This window comes from Homo sapiens, chromosome 1, assembly GCF_000001405.40.
Source record: "Homo sapiens chromosome 1, GRCh38.p14 Primary Assembly".
NCBI lineage: Eukaryota > Metazoa > Chordata > Mammalia > Primates > Hominidae > Homo > Homo sapiens.
In genome coordinates, this window is record NC_000001.11 from 192,886,865 (window position 1) to 192,907,583 (window position 20,719).

General features: G+C 38.2%; 1 annotated feature.

Moving 5' to 3' along the window:
* Positions 510 to 1,043: an enhancer, noted in NCBI's record as "OCT4-NANOG hESC enhancer chr1:192856504-192857037 (GRCh37/hg19 assembly coordinates)". NCBI's record gives its function as "activates a minimal SCP1, AML or CMV promoter by ChIP-STARR-seq in naive H9 embryonic stem cells {active_cell/tissue: H9 hESC(naive)}" and the evidence as "EXISTENCE:reporter gene assay evidence [ECO:0000049][PMID:30033119]".

The following is a 20,719-nucleotide window of genomic DNA, read 5'->3' on the forward strand; positions in this document are numbered from 1 at the left end:
GTGCAGTTGCAAGATTTAATAGAGTGAAACAGAGTGAAAACAGAGCTCCCATACAAAGGGAGGGGACCCAAAGGGGGTTGCCGTTGCCGGCTCGAATGCCTGGGTTTATATCCCAATCCTTGTCCCTCCCGCTGTGCTCTCAGGCAATAGATGATTGACTATTTCTTTACCTCCTGTTTTTGCCTAATTAGCATTTTAGTGAGCTCTCTGATTGGTTGGGTGTGAGCTAAGTTGCAAGCCCCATGTTTAAAGGTGGATGTGGTCACCTTCCCAGCTAGGCTTAGATTCTTAGTCGGCCTAGGAAATCCAGCTAGTCCTGTCTCTCATTAGGTTCAATAATTTACTGGAACAACTCAGAACTCAGGAAAGTGTAATACTTAGGATTAGAGTTTTATTATATAGGATACATTCTGGATCAGCCAAATGAAAAGACACATGGGGAAGGTCTGAGAGGGTCCCTAGTGCACAATTTCTGTATCGTCTTCCTATCAAATCAAGTCATGGCACCTTCCCAGCACATCGATGTGTTCACCAACCAGGAAGCACCACTAAGCTTTGGTATTCAGTTTTTATTGAGGTTCCATTAGGTAGGCATACTTGATTAAATCATTAGCAACATGACTGAACTCAATCTCCACACCTTGTCCTCCCTGGAAGTCAGACTGGCTCAAAGTTTCAACCCTCCAATCACATGGTTGGTCCTTCTGGCGCCCAGCCCCTGTCCCAAAGCTATCGAATAGCCCACCGTGAGTCACCTCATTAGCATAAACTCAGGAACCATTCAGGAGGCTCAGGAATAACAAAAAGACTTCTATCTCTCAGGAAATTCCAAGGGTTTTAGAAGCTTCATGTCAGAAACCTGGGGCAAAGACCAGACAAATCCTCTATTACGTAGCAGACATTAAACCAAGAATGGCAAAATGACATAAAACCAACAAATATTTAAAAGACAAATAAGAATTCTGTGTTTGTTATTTATAGTACACATCTGAAGTATGAAAGTCATAAGTCTGGTGTAGATGACACAAAGATTTTGTGACTTGAATGTGTACCTCCAGGGTAAAAAAGCATTGATTCTATCCTAAGGAGGACTTACTTGGGCAAAAGACAAAGAGAAAACTGTTTTCTCTTCAGTACACTCTTTTTCTATTTCAATGCCCTCCCGTTTACCTAAATTTCCGTCTTGCTTATAGGTCCTTGTTAACTCTTTCTCCAAAGGTATTAAGTTCAATAAACATTTATTGAGCAACTTCAATGTACAACACACAATGTACAAAGGTCCCAGTCCTTACAAACCTGTCAGTCTAAACAAGATGACAATCATGTTGAAAATTAAGTGACATGACAAGGTAGAAACAAAATACTTTGCAGTGTTTGAAACATAAGCATTTAATGAGACAAATCATGGGGTGGCTAGAGGGAGGAAGCACTTCAAAAGAGTCTTGAAGAATGAGTAGGATCTCAGAACAGGATGAAAAGTCAAGAACTCTACCAAGCAGAGATGCAAAGACCCAGGAACTTGAAAACATGTTTGGTGAACCCACATGGCTGCAGTAAAAGGCATATGGCTAAGTATATTAGGATCTGAGGCTGAAGAGGCGATTGAGGCCTTATCATGGGGTGCTGTAAATTCTTTGCTTAGGAGTTTGAATGTTATTCTTCAGGCAATGGAAAGCCACTGGAAATTTTTGAAGAAGGATGCTTCATTGTGTCTCAAATTCTTCTTTAAGTCTCCAGGAACTCATAGACAAAAAATGAACCAATGAGGATATTATATAAATAATCCAGACAATAAATGACAAGGCGCTGTGGTACTGAACACAGAGCAAGAATACCAAAAAAGAGAACTAACAGAATTTAGTAATGGATTGTCGGAGCAGAAACAGGAGGAGTTGAGGATGATTTCCAAACATCCAGCCTGCCTGACTGAGAATGTGGTGTCACTGAAAGAAATGCAGAACCATCTTAGTCTATTCAGGCTGTTATAACAAAATACCGTAAACTGGGTGCCTTAAACAAGAAACATTTATTTTTTACAGTTTTGGAGGCTGGGAAATCCAAGATCAAGGTGCTGCCAATTTGGTTCCTGGTAAGGGCCTAATTTTGGGCCCCCAGATAGTCATCTTCTTGCTATGTCTTTACATGGAAGCTAGAAAGAGAAAGAGCCCTGGTCTCTTTTTATAAGAGCATTAATTCCATCCTGAGGACCCCACCCACATGACCTCATCTAAATCTTATTACCTGCCAAAGGCCTTGTCTTTGAATACCATCAAATGGTGGGTTAGCGCTTCAATATATGAATTTTAGAGAGACACAATTCAGTCAATAGCAGGAACCCAGAAGGAGAAGGATTGGAATGGAAGATGAAGGGCTTAGTTTGGACACATTGAGTTTGTGGTTTCTTCTGATTACTCAAGTGGCTATATCTAGCTGGTAGCTTGGAGATAAGGAGTAAACAATTTTAAAAGGAAATCAGAGTTCAAGTGTTACGCCTTCCTGGGTATATAAATTTTGGTAGACATTTCTTAGAACCGAAAACCTCATTACCCAAAGGATTAAATATCTAATGGGAGTGGCTACCTACACTGTCTACGTGGTATTATTTGAAAAAGATAAATTCATCCTTACTCATTAGAAAGAAAAGTGTGAGGGCTCAGGAGTCAAATTGTTTGGATTGAAATCCTTGCTGTTCTTATTACCATCTGCATGACATTACATAAGCTACTGAAACTCTTAGTGCCTTAATTTCTTCATGTGTAAAATGAGCATAGTAATAATACCTTTCTTACACAGTTGTTGGAAAAATTAAAAGAATTAATATGTGTAATGGATTGAGACAGTACATACTAGTTCCTCAACAAATGTTAACTATTGTTTCACAAAATTATGTTTCTGATACTCTCCTAAAATCTGAAATTCCACCATTATAATTTTTCCTTTGGTTCTAAGAAGATTTTCATCAAGTATTTTCTACCTAAATCCATAAATCTATCTCTGGTTTTATGAACTGAATCTGCTTTGATGTATTTATATATCTTTAAATATAGGCCAATTTTCCCAGAATAAATGAATCTTTGTGAGCATATTATGCTAAATAATTTAGAATTGAGAGGAAAGAATTCTAATTCATTAAAAAAAAAATTTACTACTTTTACCTTGAGAGTCATGTAGTAGATATCCTCCCTAAACAGAAGAGAAACATATTACAAGGCCTAATAGCAGCAATAAGTTTAGACATCTTGCTGGAGGTCATTGTACAGGGTGAGCAGAAATTCATTACCAAGTCCAAATGGCTTATGCTGAATCTGGTTAGGCCCAACCTTGACAATTGTTTGTCATTTGGTTCGTATACAATAACAAGTACCATTTCTTGAATAATTATTTTGGTCCAGAAATTTATACACGTTGTCTGTTGTAATCTTTCCATCTGCCCAATGAGACTATTATTATCATCGTCATTTTCCCAGATGAGGAAACCAAGGCTCTGAGAGCTCATTACTTGTCCCAAGTCACACTGTTGATAAGTAGCAGAACCAGGGTTTAAGCTCCCTGTGCCTGGCCTGACACCAAAATCCTTGCTTTTAACCACCAAACCTTCCTGCCTTTCCTTTTGAAGAAGCACCAGCAGACACTGTATTTATGAATTAAAAATAACTTTCAGTTATCCATGACAATGAGTTCAAGAGAATATTATAGAATTTTGGAGCTGAGATGGATTTTAGGGATCAGCCAGGTCAGAGCCCTCATTTTCACAATTATAGGGATCAGAAGTCTTCACTGAAGAGTAATTTAGAAAATATCCAGTACAATCCCTTTATTTTACAGATGAAGGAACTGGAATCTGTGATTTGTCCACAGTCACATTCTAGTCAATAGCACAGTTATATAACCATGGCCGATATTCTTTCCATTCTCTATCTAGTAATATTTCCATAACACACAAGTACTCCATCCCCTCTGGGCACAGTACTCCAGAGGCAGATTCCATTTGCCCTTGTGCTAGGTGGCCTAAAACCACATGGGGAAAGCAAAACTAAATTAAAACCTAGGTAGTCAACCAGGGCCCACACTGGCTTTGAAGCAATACAGATAACAACTAAATAAATAATCCTAATGTTACAGGATCTTTGGGGTGTTGCTTTTCTCACCGGAAACCTCTGCAGCCAGTGGCATCTTTGCCCAAGTTCATGTCCTGTGTCCAGGAAGAATGAGGTATGCAGACAAGTGGAGGGTGAGCAAGACAAAGAGGAGCTTTATTGAGTATTAGAACAGCTCAGAGGAGACCCACGGTGGGTAACTCCTCTCTGCAGGCAGGTCATTCTGTCCAGTGTTCAGCTCTCAGCAGAGAGGAGGCCCTGGATTTGGTGGCTCCTCTCTGCAGCTGGTAGTCCCAGTGCCTCTGCAGGTCTCTGAAGCTCTCAGCAGAGAAGGTAGTTCCTCTCTGCAGCTGATCATCCCAGCTCTTAGAAGAGAAGGTAGCTCCTCTCTGCAGCTGGTCATCCTGTGGTCTCCATCCTCTGCCCTGCTCTGGCTGAGACCAGGGCTTTTATGGGCCTCAGAGGGAAGGAAGTGCATGCCGATTGGTCCATAGGCAGCCATGGGCTGCTGGAAAAGGCACCACAAGTCCCCACTCTGGACAGTGGAATAGCAGCCCAACCCCCAGCCTTCAAGACCTCCCTGGCCTGAAGGTGGGGCCTTACTGGGACCACCCCCTCTGCCCAGGAATCTGTCTGCCTCCCACAGATGTTCATGACACCCAGGCTCCCCCTGTCTTTGCTGTGAGATCCCAGCAGGCACCCACAGGAGGGAGAAGTTAGGCAGTGGGAAGAGGCACTTCTGAGCATCCAAAGGCATTGGGGCCTTCCCGGGCTCCAAAGAGTGCAGAGATACCTGAGCCTGCAGCCATGTGGGCAGCTGTAGCTGCGCCCAGGTCAGGCTGCTTCCTGCTCCCTGGAGCAGGAAGCCCAGGTCTACAGCTATAGTTTGGGTGGCTGCAGCTGCACCCAGGAGGGCAGGAATCCTGCCTGTTCCCAGTCCCAAGAGCACAGGGAGGCTTGGCTATGCAGCCACAACTTGGGTGGCCACAGCCCCACCCAGGAGGGCAGGGTCTTCTGCCTGCTCTGTGGAGCAGGAGGCCCAGGTCTGCAGCCATGGTTTGGGCAACTGCAGTGGCACCCAGGGAGCTTGCTCCCCAAGTCAGAAAAGGTGGGTCTCCAGCTTGTTCCCGGCTCCTGTGGGCTCCATGGAGCCTGCTGTCCCTGTAGTGTCTCCCTGCTGCAGCCAGCCAGCAGCAGGCCGTCTGGAGCAGTTGCTGCCATCATTAATCTAAGAACTAGTAAAATTGTAATTAAAACATCAAGGGACCCCGAAGAGGTTTAAAACAGGTGAGATGGTAGGGCACAGTGGCTCATGCCTGTAATCCCAGCACTTTGGGAGGCTGAGGCGGGTGGATAACCTGAGGTTAGGAGTTCAAGGCCAGCCTGGCCACCATGGCGAAACCCCGTCTCTACAAAAAATTAGCCAGGCATGGTGGTGGGTGCCTGTAATCCCAGCTACTCAGGAGGATGAGGCAGGAGAATCTTTTGAACCCAGGAGGCGGAGGTTGCAGTGAGCCAAGATCGGGCCATCGCACTCCAGCCTGGACAACAACAGCGGAACTCTGTCTCGGAAAAAAAAAAAAAAAAAGAAAAAAAAACACCAGGAGAGATGTTGTCAGAACATCTCTCCTTCTAAAACAGTACACTTCAATTTCATTTAGCTTTTATTGCAGTATATAACACTCTGGATATAAATGATTCAGAATTCATTTTTAAATACCAGAACCAAAATATCACCTCCTCCCAAAATATTGATGGTTCAGTAACAAATAGCACTATTTACCATAATTCTAAAGCCCAGCATTGCCATCACCTCAAGCACCCTCAGCACAATTCCCAAGGTGTCCCTGACTTGGCCTCCAGCTCTCTCTTCAGCTTCAATTTTTATCACTCTTTTTTACTCTCATCACTCAGTGATATTGAGATACATATAATTCCTGGGTATGTCACACTATTCTTACTCATGCTATACCCTGTCTAGAATGCTCATTTCACATCCACCTCTTTATTCTCCTAATGCTACTCATCTTTCAAGGTCCACTTTGGACATCATCTCTTTGTAAAATCTTGCAGGGACATGTCTTCCAGGCTGGCCTGGAATGCCATCATAGGATATATTATACCACAAAGTCACCATTGGTTCATTTTTCTGCCTTAGGCCTTGAGATCTAGAACTCTGTTTCATTCTGCTTTCTCCCTCCAACACCTAATAGTATATGGCATGTGACTGCATGTAAAAAAACGAAAGTGTGTCCAACTGGTTAACTGACTTCTCAATACTCAAATAAACATTCATGAGTGATTAATATGTAAAACAACACCCTCAAATGTTCTGCTCCTCTCAAGTGTGCTGGCACTTGTTATTTAAAGATCTATTTAAAGGGCCGTGTCTAGACTGGCCAAAGAAGGTAAGAACAAAAAAGACTAAATGTAATTCCTCCCAAGAAACGTGATCTGTTTTAAAAACAGTCCTATGGACCAGTCCCAGGACAGCAAAGTAGAATAGAGCATCTTCTCATGAATCACCTCACTAAGATGATTACCTCTGAAGGGCACGGAAGGAAGTTTATTGGAAATGAAAACCCTGGAAAATGAGAAGCAGAAGAATTATGTAGACATGGCTAAACAAGCAAAGAATGCTGAATACTAAAGAGTTAATTTGAGTTTGGCATTAAAACATAGATAGTCCATGCTTCTGAAAGAATAAATGTGATCAAAGGGATTAAAAGAAAGATGATTTGGGCAGAAAAATCTTGAAGACATTAAATTAGAAATTTCATTTGTTCAGACTGTACCATATTTTCTTTGAGAATGTAAGTTCCTAACCCCATAACTGTTTTTATTGAACACCCACAGCAAATGAGGCTTTGTTCAGCTGTGTCTAACAAAACACCAGTGTAAATCATTCAGCAAGCATGGCCAAAGGATCATCATACCAGCAATTAATCGGGCTTTCCTTTCATTCTCCTTTCTAAGGGTTAAAATGTTGGAAGCATTATATCTAATAAATTTAAACCCGACATACATATGCTAGGTCCAGAAGAATCTATTATAAAACATAAAACATGCCCCAAATAAAACTGTTTGGCCCTTTGCAGTATTTTCTGAAGCATCTGCGAACACATGCAATCTAATAATAGGGTATAAAAAAACCAATTGTTATCAATCTTAAAAGAACACAAAGTCAACTGCTCTATAAGCTTGAACAGAAAAAAAGAGGTCGATTTATTGTACAAACTTTAATTTAGCAAAACCTCATTGCAGCCTCCTGCTCAATATCCAGTAAACTAAAAAAAAAAAAAAAAAGCATTACTTTTAATAAGAAGATGAATACCTTCAAAAAGGGCTATGTCAACAATCAAATAAAGACCTATATAAATGTAGTATTTGTTGGAGCTAACAGAAATATTGATAAAGGAACCTCTAATAAGAACTACAAAATTGAGAGCTAAGAGTTAGAATGCTTAAAAAAGCATAAGCATAAAAGAATGCTTATGATTTCTGATTTTGGGGGGATAATATAACAAGTCAAGAAATTCTGATTCACTTTAATATTTTTGAAAACTTTTTTGTGTGTCTGATAGCACTATCATTCAGGGTTTATTTCTTCACTCTAAAACCTAACATTTTGGAGCACCTACTATATGCCAGGAATTGGATGAATACAACCAAAGACATGCTCTCCAGGAGCTCAAACCCTAATAGTGAAACTGATATGTAAATAACTACAAAACTGAGGGACCATTTTGACGAAAAGGTGTTGGCCAAGAAAGAGATCATTTCTCCCCAATGGCATTCTGGAAGAGCCGATAACTAACGAATGACTTTAGATAGGAAAGAAGGGGATGGGCCCTCCTAAAAGTGGAAACAAATACTGTATATCACAACTAGATTATCAACTCATTGAGGGCAGAACCCATCTTTTACTTCTTTATATAATTTATATTGCATAGTATATTTTTAATGATGATATCATAGATAGTTCTGCCTTGCCAAGCTTAGGTGACTTGAAATTTGGAAAACTGGTGGCTTCAAATGAAAAAGAAATAAATGAGAAAGTAAGAAATTAAATGTTTACAAAGTTAAAAAGTCATTAATATGTCTTAATAAGAAAAAAAATCAGTCAGAAGTAACCACAGGGGTTGACGGAAATAATTTTGAACCCAAATAGATACTCTTTTTCCAATTTCACAGATTCATGTGCCTCATAACTCACAGTCATTAACTACTAGTGTGTCCGGAATTGGTTCCTTCCGGTGGGTTCTTGGTCTCTCTGACTTCAAGAACGAAGCCATGGACCCTCGTGGTGAGTGTTACAGTTCTTAAAGATGGTGTGTCCGGAGTTTGTTCCTTCAGATGTTCAGACGTGTCCACAGTTTCTTCCTTCCATTGGGTTCATGGGCTCGCTTGACTTCAGGAGTGAAGCCACAGACCTTCGCAGCAACTGTTACAGCTCTTAAAGGTGGCACGTCCTAAGTTGTTTGTTCTTCCCAGTGGGTTTGTGGTCTCGCTGACTTCAGGAGTGAAGCCGCAGACCCTCGCAGTGAGTGCCACAGCTCACAAAGGCAGCGCAGACCCAAAGAGTGAGCAGCAGCAAGATTTATTGTGAAGAGACAAAGAACTAAGTTTCCACAATGTGGGAACGGACCCGGCTTCCGGCTGCTGGCTCAGGTGGCCAGCTTTTATTCCCTTATTTGGCCCTGCCCACATCCTGCTGACTGGTCCATTTTACAGAGCACTGATTGGTCCATTTTATAGACTGCTGATTGGTCCGTTTTTACAGAGTGCTGATTGGTGTGTTTACAAACCTTTAACTAGACACAGAGTGCCGATTGGTGCATTTTTACTAGACACAGAGCGCCAATTGCTGCATTTTTACTGAGTGCTGATTGGTGCGTTTACAAACCTTTAGCTAGACACAGAGTGCTGATTGGTGTGTTTACAATCCTTTAGCTAGACAGAAAAGTTCTCCAAGTCCCCACCTGACCCAGAAGCCCAGCTGGCTTCACCTCTCACTAGTAACAGTCAAGCTCTGCGTTTTACAAACCCACAATATGAAAGGGAGTTCTTATGGTGAATACCAGAAGGTTTTGGCTTATATTTGGCTATAAGGAAAAGAAATATAGGGCTTAAAATAATTTTAACCTTAGGCCAATGGAGAGATTTAAGGCTTTACAATTAAAGAAAAAGAAAAAAAAAGAGAGAAAGAAAAAATGAAGTAAAAATAGAAGAAAAGGGGATAAGAAAAAGGAAAGAGGGAAGAGCAAGAAAAGAGTATTGTGGGAAATACTAAAAAGGCACAGATAGTCTGTCACTAGAATCCAGACTACCACAAAAATTCCAGATCAGAAAAATCTCTGCACAATATCACCACTAATCACTAAAGATTTAGGTAGTAATTGTACGTCAAAATGTATGGAAATTCATACAAAGTGCACCTTAGTCTTTAAGAAATAGAAATTTTCTCTTCTTTAACAAACATGGGAGTGCAGATGTACCTCTTCTACATACTGATTTCATTTCCACTGAATATATATCCAGAAGTTGGATTGTTGGGTCATATGGTAGTTCTATTTTTAATTTTTTGAGAAACCTCCATACTTTCATCATACTGGCTATAGGAATTTACATTCCCACCAACAATGTGTGAATTCCTCTTTCTCCATGTCCTCACCAGCATTTCTTATTTTTTATCTTTTTAATAATAGCCATTTTAACTAGGGTGAGGTAATGTTTTATGTGGTACTGATTTGTATTTCCCTGATGATGAGTGATGTTTATTCCTATGCTAATCACAATAGCCAAGATGTAGAATAAACCTAAGTATCCATCAACAAATGAATGGATATTTTAAAATTATATATACATATGTATATACACAATGGAATACTATTGAACCATGAAAAAGAATGAAATTCTGCATTTGCAACAATGTGGATGAACCTTGAGAACATTTTGTTAAATGAAATAAGCCAAGTACAGAAGCACAATACCATGTGATCTCACTCCTATGTGGAATCTTAAAAAGTTGATCTTATAGAAATAGAGGGTAGACTAGTGGTTACCAGAGGCTTGGAAGAGTGAAGGGGAGATGGGGAGAGGTTGGTCTACAGGTACAAAGTTATGGTTAGACAAGAGGAATAAGTTCTGGCATTCTAATACACAGTAGAGTGACAATAGTTAACAATAATGTATTATATACTTCAAAATAGCTAGAAGACAGGATTTTGAATGCACCCACCACAAAGAAATGACAAGTGTTTGAGGTGATGGATATGCTATTTGCCATGATTTGATCATTACACAATGTATACATATATGCAAACATCACACTATACCCCATAAATAGGTACAATTATTATGTGACAATTAAGAACAAAACTTTAAAATAATTGTTTTCTCCTGTTATTGATGATTTGAGGTGTATATTTGTTTTGACTTCCCAGTTTAAAATGTGTCAGCTTCCTCAAAATTCTCATCAGCTGCTTCTTCCAGTCAACAATTATAAACCTCTAGCACTCATTATAATCTCTAGCTTAGCAGATGCTGTTGTCCAGATAGCAGAAAGGAGCCAAGAGAGGTGCAGTCTCTGAGTCCCCTTGAAAGTTGAGAAAATGCTTAGGTTCTCCAATAATGGTGGAATAGCCCTTACTTTGGGAATTTTGGTGTAATTGACTGCAATATAATACCTATTAGATGAGGTGCAATTTTTAGCAACCAGTAATGTATAAGGATAATCAGTTTTTTAGGACAGTTTTATGAGGGACAAATCCTCAGTCCATGAAAGTGTGATATGATATAAAAATTGGAGGGCAGTGCCATTCAACAGCCAATCCATTTCTAATCTCTAAACAGGCTGTTTTCATTGGGTCCTCACTGCTGTGCAGAACAATCTAGCTCATCTTTTAAGTTGAGATTACCTATTTTTCTTTGTTTCTTAATAGTATTGAGAACAAATAAACCTTTTCACCATTTGTTTAAGTAACTATTCTGAAATATAACTCTTTCCTCTAGATCTGAATAAATCCAACCATCAGAAGAGCATCCTAATAACAGCAATAATTTATGGAAAATGATAAATATTGATATTGCTCTGACTCTTTTCTGTTTTCTCAATGAAGAGAATTATATTTTCCTAAAGATATAGTTGGCCTAAAATGTTTGCGTAGTAAAAATACTTTTAATTAAGTCATCCAGGTGATGAGAGTCAAAAAGGAAAAGAAAAGTCTACTCGTGGTCCCTGAAATATTCTCCATAGATCACCTTACCCAAAATAAATAGTTTGTAAATGTGATCATCTTGCTCCAGAGATTTTTATGCATGCAGTGCTTGAAGGTACACACATGTGAATGGAACACTCACCAGAGAGCCATCAGTGAAGTATTAAAATAATGTTTAGTGTTTGACAAATTAAAGATGCAATCATTTAAAATAGCATCTAGGCAGTTTTCATGTATCTGTTGCATTGCAGTGGGTATCTTAAATTTCCCAATTGTCACTTAATTCAATAAACAGTCCATCAAAAACTATTAAAAGTAGGTATTGATTTCTAGATACCATTCTAAAATGCTTTGCCAAGTCTCCATTATCTCAAAAGCATGTGAGAAGTTTATCTTTCTGTGCTCCCCAAACGATGTTCTCCTCATCAGTCCACTTGATAGCAACATAATGATCATTAAGTATATTTCATAGCTTGGTGACTATGCCATTGGAATTTCTTTAAGTTTCAAGGATAAATAGATAAGTCTACACAATAGATATGTTTAGATCTAACATCTCTACATCTTCTTTAGACAGCTGTGTTTAATTTCAGAGACAGTAACGTTTGTTTTTAGGCCCACATTTTCTCAGAGACATAAAGAACTAAGATAGGACTATACCATTTTTAAGGTCCCACTGACGTTTGAAATTAAGGCAGTGGCACCTTTGAAAAACATATAGTCCTATCTTCTCATCTAAAAGATGTAAAAACTGACTCAGACTGCTAAAGTGAGTTGCTTATGATCACAAGGACAGTTAGAGATAGACAAACCTCAAACATCTTATCAAATCCCTGGGCAAACCCTTTGATATTAAACTCAGAGACTATCATCAAATATCATTTCAATTGCTAAGGTAGGATCCAAACTAGTTCATCAGCAGGACACCTCTGAATTTCTTACACCACCTAGTGCATGCTATTACAAGCATCCACTTATTTCAGGAAGGTTTCTGGTAACAGACATCTCATTATTCTGCAACAAAAGCACTCATTAAATATTGGGCATAACCTAATAAGATCCTTTGCTGCTGCTCTCACTGAAGTTTTAAAGCAGAAGTTAAAAACAGACAATCATGGGCTGGAGTCAATCCTAGATGTATTTGTTTGGCAAACAGTAATTTAAGTATTTTTAATTTAAAATTTTTAATTTGAGAAATTATAACCAATAATCAAAACTTCTTTCCATAAAAAAATTATATCTGTCAACACTGGTACTGTAGTTCCACTTGGCAACAATCACTAAAACTGACTTGCTGCTCTGCCTTTAGACACGTGTTCCCTGCTTTACCAGGGTCTCCATCTCTTCTTATTGTCTTTTGTTCCAGCTGGTTTGTCCCGTTTCTGTACTTGCCTGGTTCCTATGACAGTTGAATTTACAATATAAGTTTCAGAGCCTTAGTTGACAATTATTTCCTAATGCTTTAAAAGATATAAAAGATTTGCCGGGCGTGGTGGCTCACACCTGTAATCCCAGCACTTTGGGAGACCAAGGCAGGCGGATCGCCTGAGGTCAGGAGTTCAAGATCAGTTTGGTCAACATGGTGAAGCCCTGTCTTTACTAAAAATACAAAAATTAGCCGGGCATGGTGGCACGCACCTGTAATCCCAGCTACTCGGGAGGCTGAGGCAGGAGAATCGCTTGAACCCGGGAGGCAGAGGTTGCAGTGACCCGAGATCGCACCACTGCACTCCAGCCTGGTGACAGAGCTAGGCTATGTCTCAAAAAAAAAAAAAAAAAAAAGATATAAAAGATTCAAAGGTATTTACAGGATGAAAATGTTTGAGGGAAAGTAAAGCACTAATGATACACCAGAAATGGTAATTCATTCTGGATTATTGTAAGCATATTTCATTTTCTTTCTTTCTTTTTTTTTTTTTTTTTTTAGACGGAGTCTAGCTCTGTCACCAGGCTGGAGTGCAGTGATGTGATCTCGGCTCACTGCAACCTCCGCCTGGTGGGTTCAAGTGATTCTCCTGCCTCAGCCCCCAAGTAGCTGGGATTATAGGTGTGTGCTACCACGCCCAGCTAATTTTTGTATTTTTAGTAGAGACGGGGTTTCACCATGTTGGCCAGGATGGTCTCCATTTCCTGACCTCGTCATCCACCCACCTTGGCCTCCCAAAGCATATTTCATTTTCTAAGTAAACCATTCACAAGCCCAGGGCTACTGTTAGTAATATAGTCAACTCTACCTGGGATAATAGGTGGATGTGATCATTTTTTAAAAATAGTCAAACATGGTATAGAATGATTTCATGTTAACTTATTTCTTTAATTTTACAATTCTACATTCTCCATCCAAAAATGTTTAAAAGAATGCCAAAAAAAAAAAAACCCTATGTTCAGGAGCAATGACTATCACATAATATGCTAACTGAAAAAGTGGCACAAAGTTTCTGCTTTGTAGTGTCCTCTATTACAATAGTACCCAACTTAGACACAGACACAGCTTAAGGCAAATGCTCGTCCTTCCCCTCCTTTGTCTTACAGTCGGCAAAGACCTAAATAAATGAAGATACATATTGTGTTCATAAATTGGAAAACTCTATACTTTTAAGATTAAAAATCAGATCTTTTCAAACGAATCTATACATCCAATGCAATCTCTGTCAAAAACCTAACAAGACTTTTTTTAAAAAACTAGAAAGCAACAAGCTGGAAAGACAAAATATTTAGAATAGCCAAAAAATTATTTTAAAAAGAGGAGAAAGCTGGAGGTACCACACTATTCGATTTCCAGACTTACTATAAAGCTACAATAATGAAGAGACTATGGCATTGGCAAAAATATGGGGATGTGGACTCTTGGAACAGAAATAGATCCACACATACATGGTCAATACATTTTCAAAAAGGTGCAAATGCAAGTCAATGGAAAAAAGATAGTCTTTTCGAAAAATTGTGTTGTAACAAATGAGATACTCACGTGCAAAAAAATAAAAATAAACTTTAAGCCAAACCTTCTGCTTTATACAAAAATTAACTCATAATGAATCAGAGACCTAAATGCAAAACAAATAACTAAAACTTCCAGAAGAAAATGTAGGAGAAAATATTTGGGTTAGACAAAGTTCTTAGATATGACACCAAAAGCTAAATCCATAAAAGTAAATTAATGAAGATTAGACTTCAAAACCAAAGATTAGACTTCAAAAGTTCTACTCTTTGAAAGACACTACTAAGAGAATGAAAATACAAGCCACATATTGGGAGAAAATATTTGCAAAACATGTACAGGGTCTGATAAAGGACTTGTATCTAGAATACATATATAAAGAAGTCTTAAAACAAAATAGCAAACAACCCAATTTTTTTAAATGGGCAAAAGATTTGGAAAGACATTTTCACTATGGAAAAAATATTGGAGTAGAGTGGGCCCTTAACCAATATGACTAGTGTCCTTACAAGAAGAGGAGAAGAGACAGACATAGAAGAAGAATGCCAGTTGGCAATGGAGACAGAGATTGGAGTCATGCAGCTGCAAGCCAAGGCATGCCAAGGATTGCCAGTGATAATAGAATCTAAGAGAAGGGCATGGGACAAATTCTCCACCACAGCTTTCAAAGAGAGCATGGCCCTTCCAACACCTCGATTTTGGGCTTCCAGCTTCCAGAACTGCAAGAAGATACATTTCTGTTGTTTTAAGCCACCCAGTTTGTTTTACTTTGTCACAGCAGTCCTAGGAAATGTGTGTGTGTGTGTGTGGTGTGTATAAATGTGTTATATATTTTCTAATATTATACAAATCTCATGCAAACAGATTCCCTACCTTTCCTCATATGACCAGTTCCATGTTTTATTTCAGACATTTCCTAAAGAACTGATATCACTTTATTACTTTTTGTGGTAAGAAACTCATGTGAAATATTAAATACTCACATTTTTATATTTTACTTCCTTTTAAAAGCTTTTATATAACCTACTGGAAGTGCATAATAATAACAGACTTCATAACTACCATTTATTAAGAAGTTTTTTTGTTCTGCATCATGTCTAATACTGTAAAGAATTTGGAGGTTATTATTTTAATTGTCCAGAGTAGGAAAGAGGTTTAAAAAGATGAAGTCTCCCACTAGGCTGTGAACTATTTTAAAGACTATATCTAATGCATCTGTGTAATCCCTGGAATGTGGTACCAGGTCTGGCTAACACTGTCTTGAGTATTGGACAAATTAATTAAATTTACCCCAAGTCACATAGTAAATGAACTGTGGAGCTGGAATTCAAATGAGGCCTGTCATATTACGGCTCCATTTAAATGCATCCAATACCATTTAGAATAAACCCAAACTCCTTACTTTGGCTAATAAAGCTCTCAGAATCAGGCACCTAGGGCTCATTTTACACCATCCCTTGCTTCTCCTGACCCTGCAGCCACACTTCTGTTCAGTTCCTCAACCTCGGCACTAACTGCTCCTCCTGCCGACAGCATCTTCCCTTGTTCTCACTCCTCCATCTTTGCATGGCTCTATCCTTCGAGTTATTTGGGTCTCACCTTAAATGCCATCTCCTTAGAAAGGTCTTCCTGATCACCCAGTGTAAAATAGCAACCCATTTACTCCCTATTACTTATAGTCTTGTTTTAATTTTGTTATATTTAACTTATCATATTCCATGTTTTGTTTCTTCAGTAGTATATTTACAGTCTTTTTCTTCTACTAAACATGCTAAGGTTCATATTTTTCACTTGCATCTTCTAGATTTAATACAAAAACAAACATTAAGAAAGCTGATTATTTTATTGTATACTTTAAGATAACAAACATATCATTTATCGTGTTCATTACTACATCTCCAGAAAATGGAAAGTCTCTGTCACATAGTGGGAACTCAGTTGATAGACTTTGAATAAATAATGAATGTTTCATTTCATGCTGTTTCCCTATGTCCATGCTTATTGCCCCAAATTCAAGAACTAAATTGTGACACAACCTGGTCCATCTGGCCTATCATACTAGATCTCTGAAATGTTCTAGCAACTCCAAGGGCTCTGGTACGTCTTTTATCCATACGGCCCTCTGTCTTCCTAATCTGGCAACAGCCTCCTAGTAACTAAAGCAAACTGTGGAAATTAACAGCTGCACCACTGACTTCAGGACCACACCAGGGGATTCCCCAGCAGGTGCCAAGTTTAAATATAGGCTACAGGGAATGTTCTATTGCCAGTGTGCAGTGGGATGCCAGACAGCTGTGGTACATCGGGATTTCACTGGGCCACGTGTCTCGTTAGTGTTTATATCACCAAGTCATAATTAAAAGGGTTTCTCTTTCTTAAGACCACTTCTACTTCTTTTATAATATTGGAAAATAAAGAAGTTTCTTGGCATTCTATATATGAATTTGTATGGAACTACTTTATTCCTCTGTCCTTATTGATTTACAAATTACCCAAATGTCTTATTTCAATCAAAAAACTTTATAACTTAAATTTGGCCTGTTTACTAATTTGCTAATTTCCTAGTCTTGCTAATAGCTCACAAAAGTTATTTCATTTGTTTGCAAAGCTTCACTCATGGAGATGCTGTTGACAAAAACCCATGCTTCCCATACTACTTGGTGAAATGCTTAGGAAATTGAAAGTAGAATTCAAAGATGCTTCTCTACTTAAATTGTGAATGTGTTTTTACCGTGTTAGTTCAGGTCTACCATTACTTGATAGTGAGTACGTCTTGCACTTTTCAATTTGATATTAACATGAAAATAAAAAGTCCATCTCAATTCAACAAACTAAATAGTCAATTTGGGCACTGAGGAATAAGCAATAGATACTTCAAGTCTCCTTGATAACGCATTAGTCTTTTTCAGACTCAGAACTGAAGATTGAACAGCAAATGGCACATGGACCTTGTATTTATGTAGCATTTTACAGTTTAAAAATAAAGCTTTATTATTCAGTGACTTTGGATGAATAACTTTCTATAAGATGAGGTGAAAAAAGCAGGATACAAAGTTGTATATTTATATTTTGGTGTTAAGAAAAAGAAAAAAATTGTTAGTGGTAATCTCGAAGTAGTGGAATAATACATTGCTTTTATTTTGTTCTTTATGCTTTTTGGTATCTTAAAAATTTCTACGGTGAATATGTACTATTTTACAAATTAAAAAACAATTTTAAAATGCCTTAACGTATTTCAGTAAGTGCTCAGTTATTCTGTAAGTGTAAATATCCTCATTGTACAAATGCAAAACTGTTTGAGAAGTAGAGATAGTGACTTACTCCAAAGTTTGAATACTCTTTATTACATTTGCCAACTTTTCACTGAATCCTGCCATCAGCCCCACACTGACATGCCAAGGAAATGAAGTGTGGTTATAAAAAAGTCTAAAGAAACAGAAGTGGGGGCGTATGTGTGTTTTGTTCATGATTTTGACAAATTGTAAGTGAGTCAGCGATGCATGCCCATCACAACCTTTTTGAGAAGATCAGTCATGTGAGGCATAAACTGTCGTACAGATCAGAACGCTCCCAATAGTTTGGTTTTGGTGATAATAACTGCAACCACTTGCTCAAAGTTAAAGGAAAGCAAAAGGAACACACGTCACTGGCTGCTAGCTTACCGACAGCAGCCTACTGTGATTCATTATTCTGGCAAACATATTAGAGATAGGAATGTTTTATTTAAAAGTTTTGTACAGTTTAGCAATGTTCAGCGGTTGTGTTTCACAGGACTTCACCAGGGATACATCATGTAGGTTTTACAAATGTATCCAAATCAATCATGAATGATTCTCTTAATTTAAGCATATAATATAAAATAATAAACTTCCTTATTTTGTTGTTATATTAAATCTGGGAGCTACAAGTGGAAAATATGAACATTAGCATGTTTATTTAATTGATTCAACTATTAAAATATCATAGTCCACTAATTGCAAAGCATTTCTAAGTACAAATACAATTCTGAAAGCAAATAATAAAATTCTTTCACACTATACTCCACATGGATTGAAAAAAATATATTATGCAATAGCTACTGGCTTTGAGGAAGGACAGTCTCTTTTTTTTTTTATTCTCTCCTCTCTTTGTCTCTTTCTGAGAAAAACATGAGTACATAATGACCTCAAAGCTTTGATCACTATGAAGTTTGGTAACTATGTTAACCTGTTCTGACTAAAATTTCCTGTATCAAATTTTTATAAAAGAATGTGTGTGTATGAGTGTATTGAGGGTCTGTTATGTCAATTTCATGTGAATCTTACTTTTTTTTACATTGCTGACCAGAAAGAAAATATTAATCCCAAAAACCTATCAAACATTTTAATTAAAATTGCCAAATATTACTAATCTTGTTCAGTCAGGCATTACCCACATAAGGTACTGTAATACTAATTCAAGGTACTTGATGCTACTTTGTGACTATTTTATTAGTATAATTAATTGTATATACAGTAATTGCTTGTTCTTACTATAAAAATAATCCATGCTTCTAAGAAATTCAAACAAGGCAGGACATAAAGTAGAAATTTAAAGTCCCATCCTGCCCAATTACACTTGCCATGGGTAAGAGTTTTATGCTCATCTTATATAGCAAACTTTCTGAGAGCACAGAGACAAATTTAGTCAAAGCTGGAGTTCTTTTTTTTTGAGACAGAATTTCACTCTTGTTGCCCAGGCTGGAGTGCAATGGTGAGACCTTGGCTCACCGCAACCTCCACCTCCCAGGTTCAAGCAATTCTCCTGCCTCGGCCTCCCAAGTAGCTGGGATTACAGGCATGTGCCACCACACCCGGCTAATTTTGTATTTTTAGAAGAGACGGGGTTTCTCCATGTTCAGCCTGATGGGTTCAGGCTGGTCTCGAACTCCCGACCTCAGGTGATCCGCCCACCTCAGCCTCCCAAAGTGCTAGGATTACAGGAGTGAGCCACCGTACCCGGCCATAGCCGGAGTTCTTACTGCTGCCTCTACTTCTGACTCAGCAAGTGACCCTGAGCATGTAAAGAACAGAACATTTGTTCGTCATAGTAATTCATTCATTCATTGTTTATTCATTCATTCAACAACTATCTATCTCCAAACTATCTACTGTTGCTGCAGTTTTATCCTTGGAGATTCATTTGGGAGCATATAAGTAATTTTGCTCTAGAAAATAATTTTTTAAATAATAACATCAGCAAAAACATTTATTTGATAATTACTACATACCCAGCACGAGGTTAAGCACTTTTCATTGGGTATTTTATTTAATAGTCACACCAACCCTATGGGATAGGGACTATTATTATGCCTATATTCTAACTGAGGAAATGGGGACCTATAGAGGTGGACTGACTTGCTCAAACCAAAGTCACTCTGCTAGTAAATCCAGTGTAACAACCCAGAGCCACCTCACTCCAAAGCCTGTCCTCCCAGCCACAGAGCTATATTGCTCCTCAATGTAAGTTTCCAGTGGATAGAGAATGAAGTATTATCAATTATTAATACGTGGTCACACAAGCCACATTTCAAGTGCTCAGTAGCCACTTGTGGCTGGTGAGTACCTTATTACACAGCCCGATATAGAACATTTCCATCATCTTAGAAATTTCTATTGGGCAACACTGGTCTAGATAAAAACCCACCGAGTAAGACAACATTGGGTTTACGTAGGTAATTAACCTGATGAAAGGAGAGAAATAGTGAAAGTAGACAATTTAAGAATAAGAAAAGGGATTTAACCATCTGTATTTATCGGAGAAGAAGAGTTCAGGAAATACTAAGTGAGTAAGAGACAGTAACTATGTAATATTATTGAATTGTTATTGAGAGAAAATTATTTGTAGCTGTGAATATGTTATTAGTTGTTATATATATAGAAGTTGGAAGTTAGATGAAGTCAGTAATATAAGTGAAAAAAACAATTTTCCAACTCCAGAAACCACCCCAGTGCATTAAGGAGACAAGGAAGACTAAGTTGATAGTTAGAAGATGAGATCCAAAGGCTGAGAATCCGGGAAGGAAAGCTCTCAGAAGAGGCAAGATTAGGAGATATACCTAATGCTAAATGACGAGTTAATGGGTGCAGCACACCAGCATGGCACATGTATACATATGTAACTAACCTGCACATTGTGCACATGTACCCTAAAACTTGAAGTATAATAATAATAAAATTTAAAAAATTTTAAAAAGTAGATGAATTAAAGCAAGCCCAATGATGTGATAATGGGACAGAGAAATGAAAGAAGGAAATCTGCTGTAAGGAAGCTGTGGAAATGAATGAGATTGTATTTGTTAAGTGAGCTTCCAGTACAGCGAGCTGCTGGTTACTTGGTTTGTTTCATATGTTATGAATACTGCAAATATGTTATAAAAAGAATTGCGGAGTGTAAAATTTATCTTATTCATTTTTGCACAGTTGCTATAATGAAATATCTCAGAT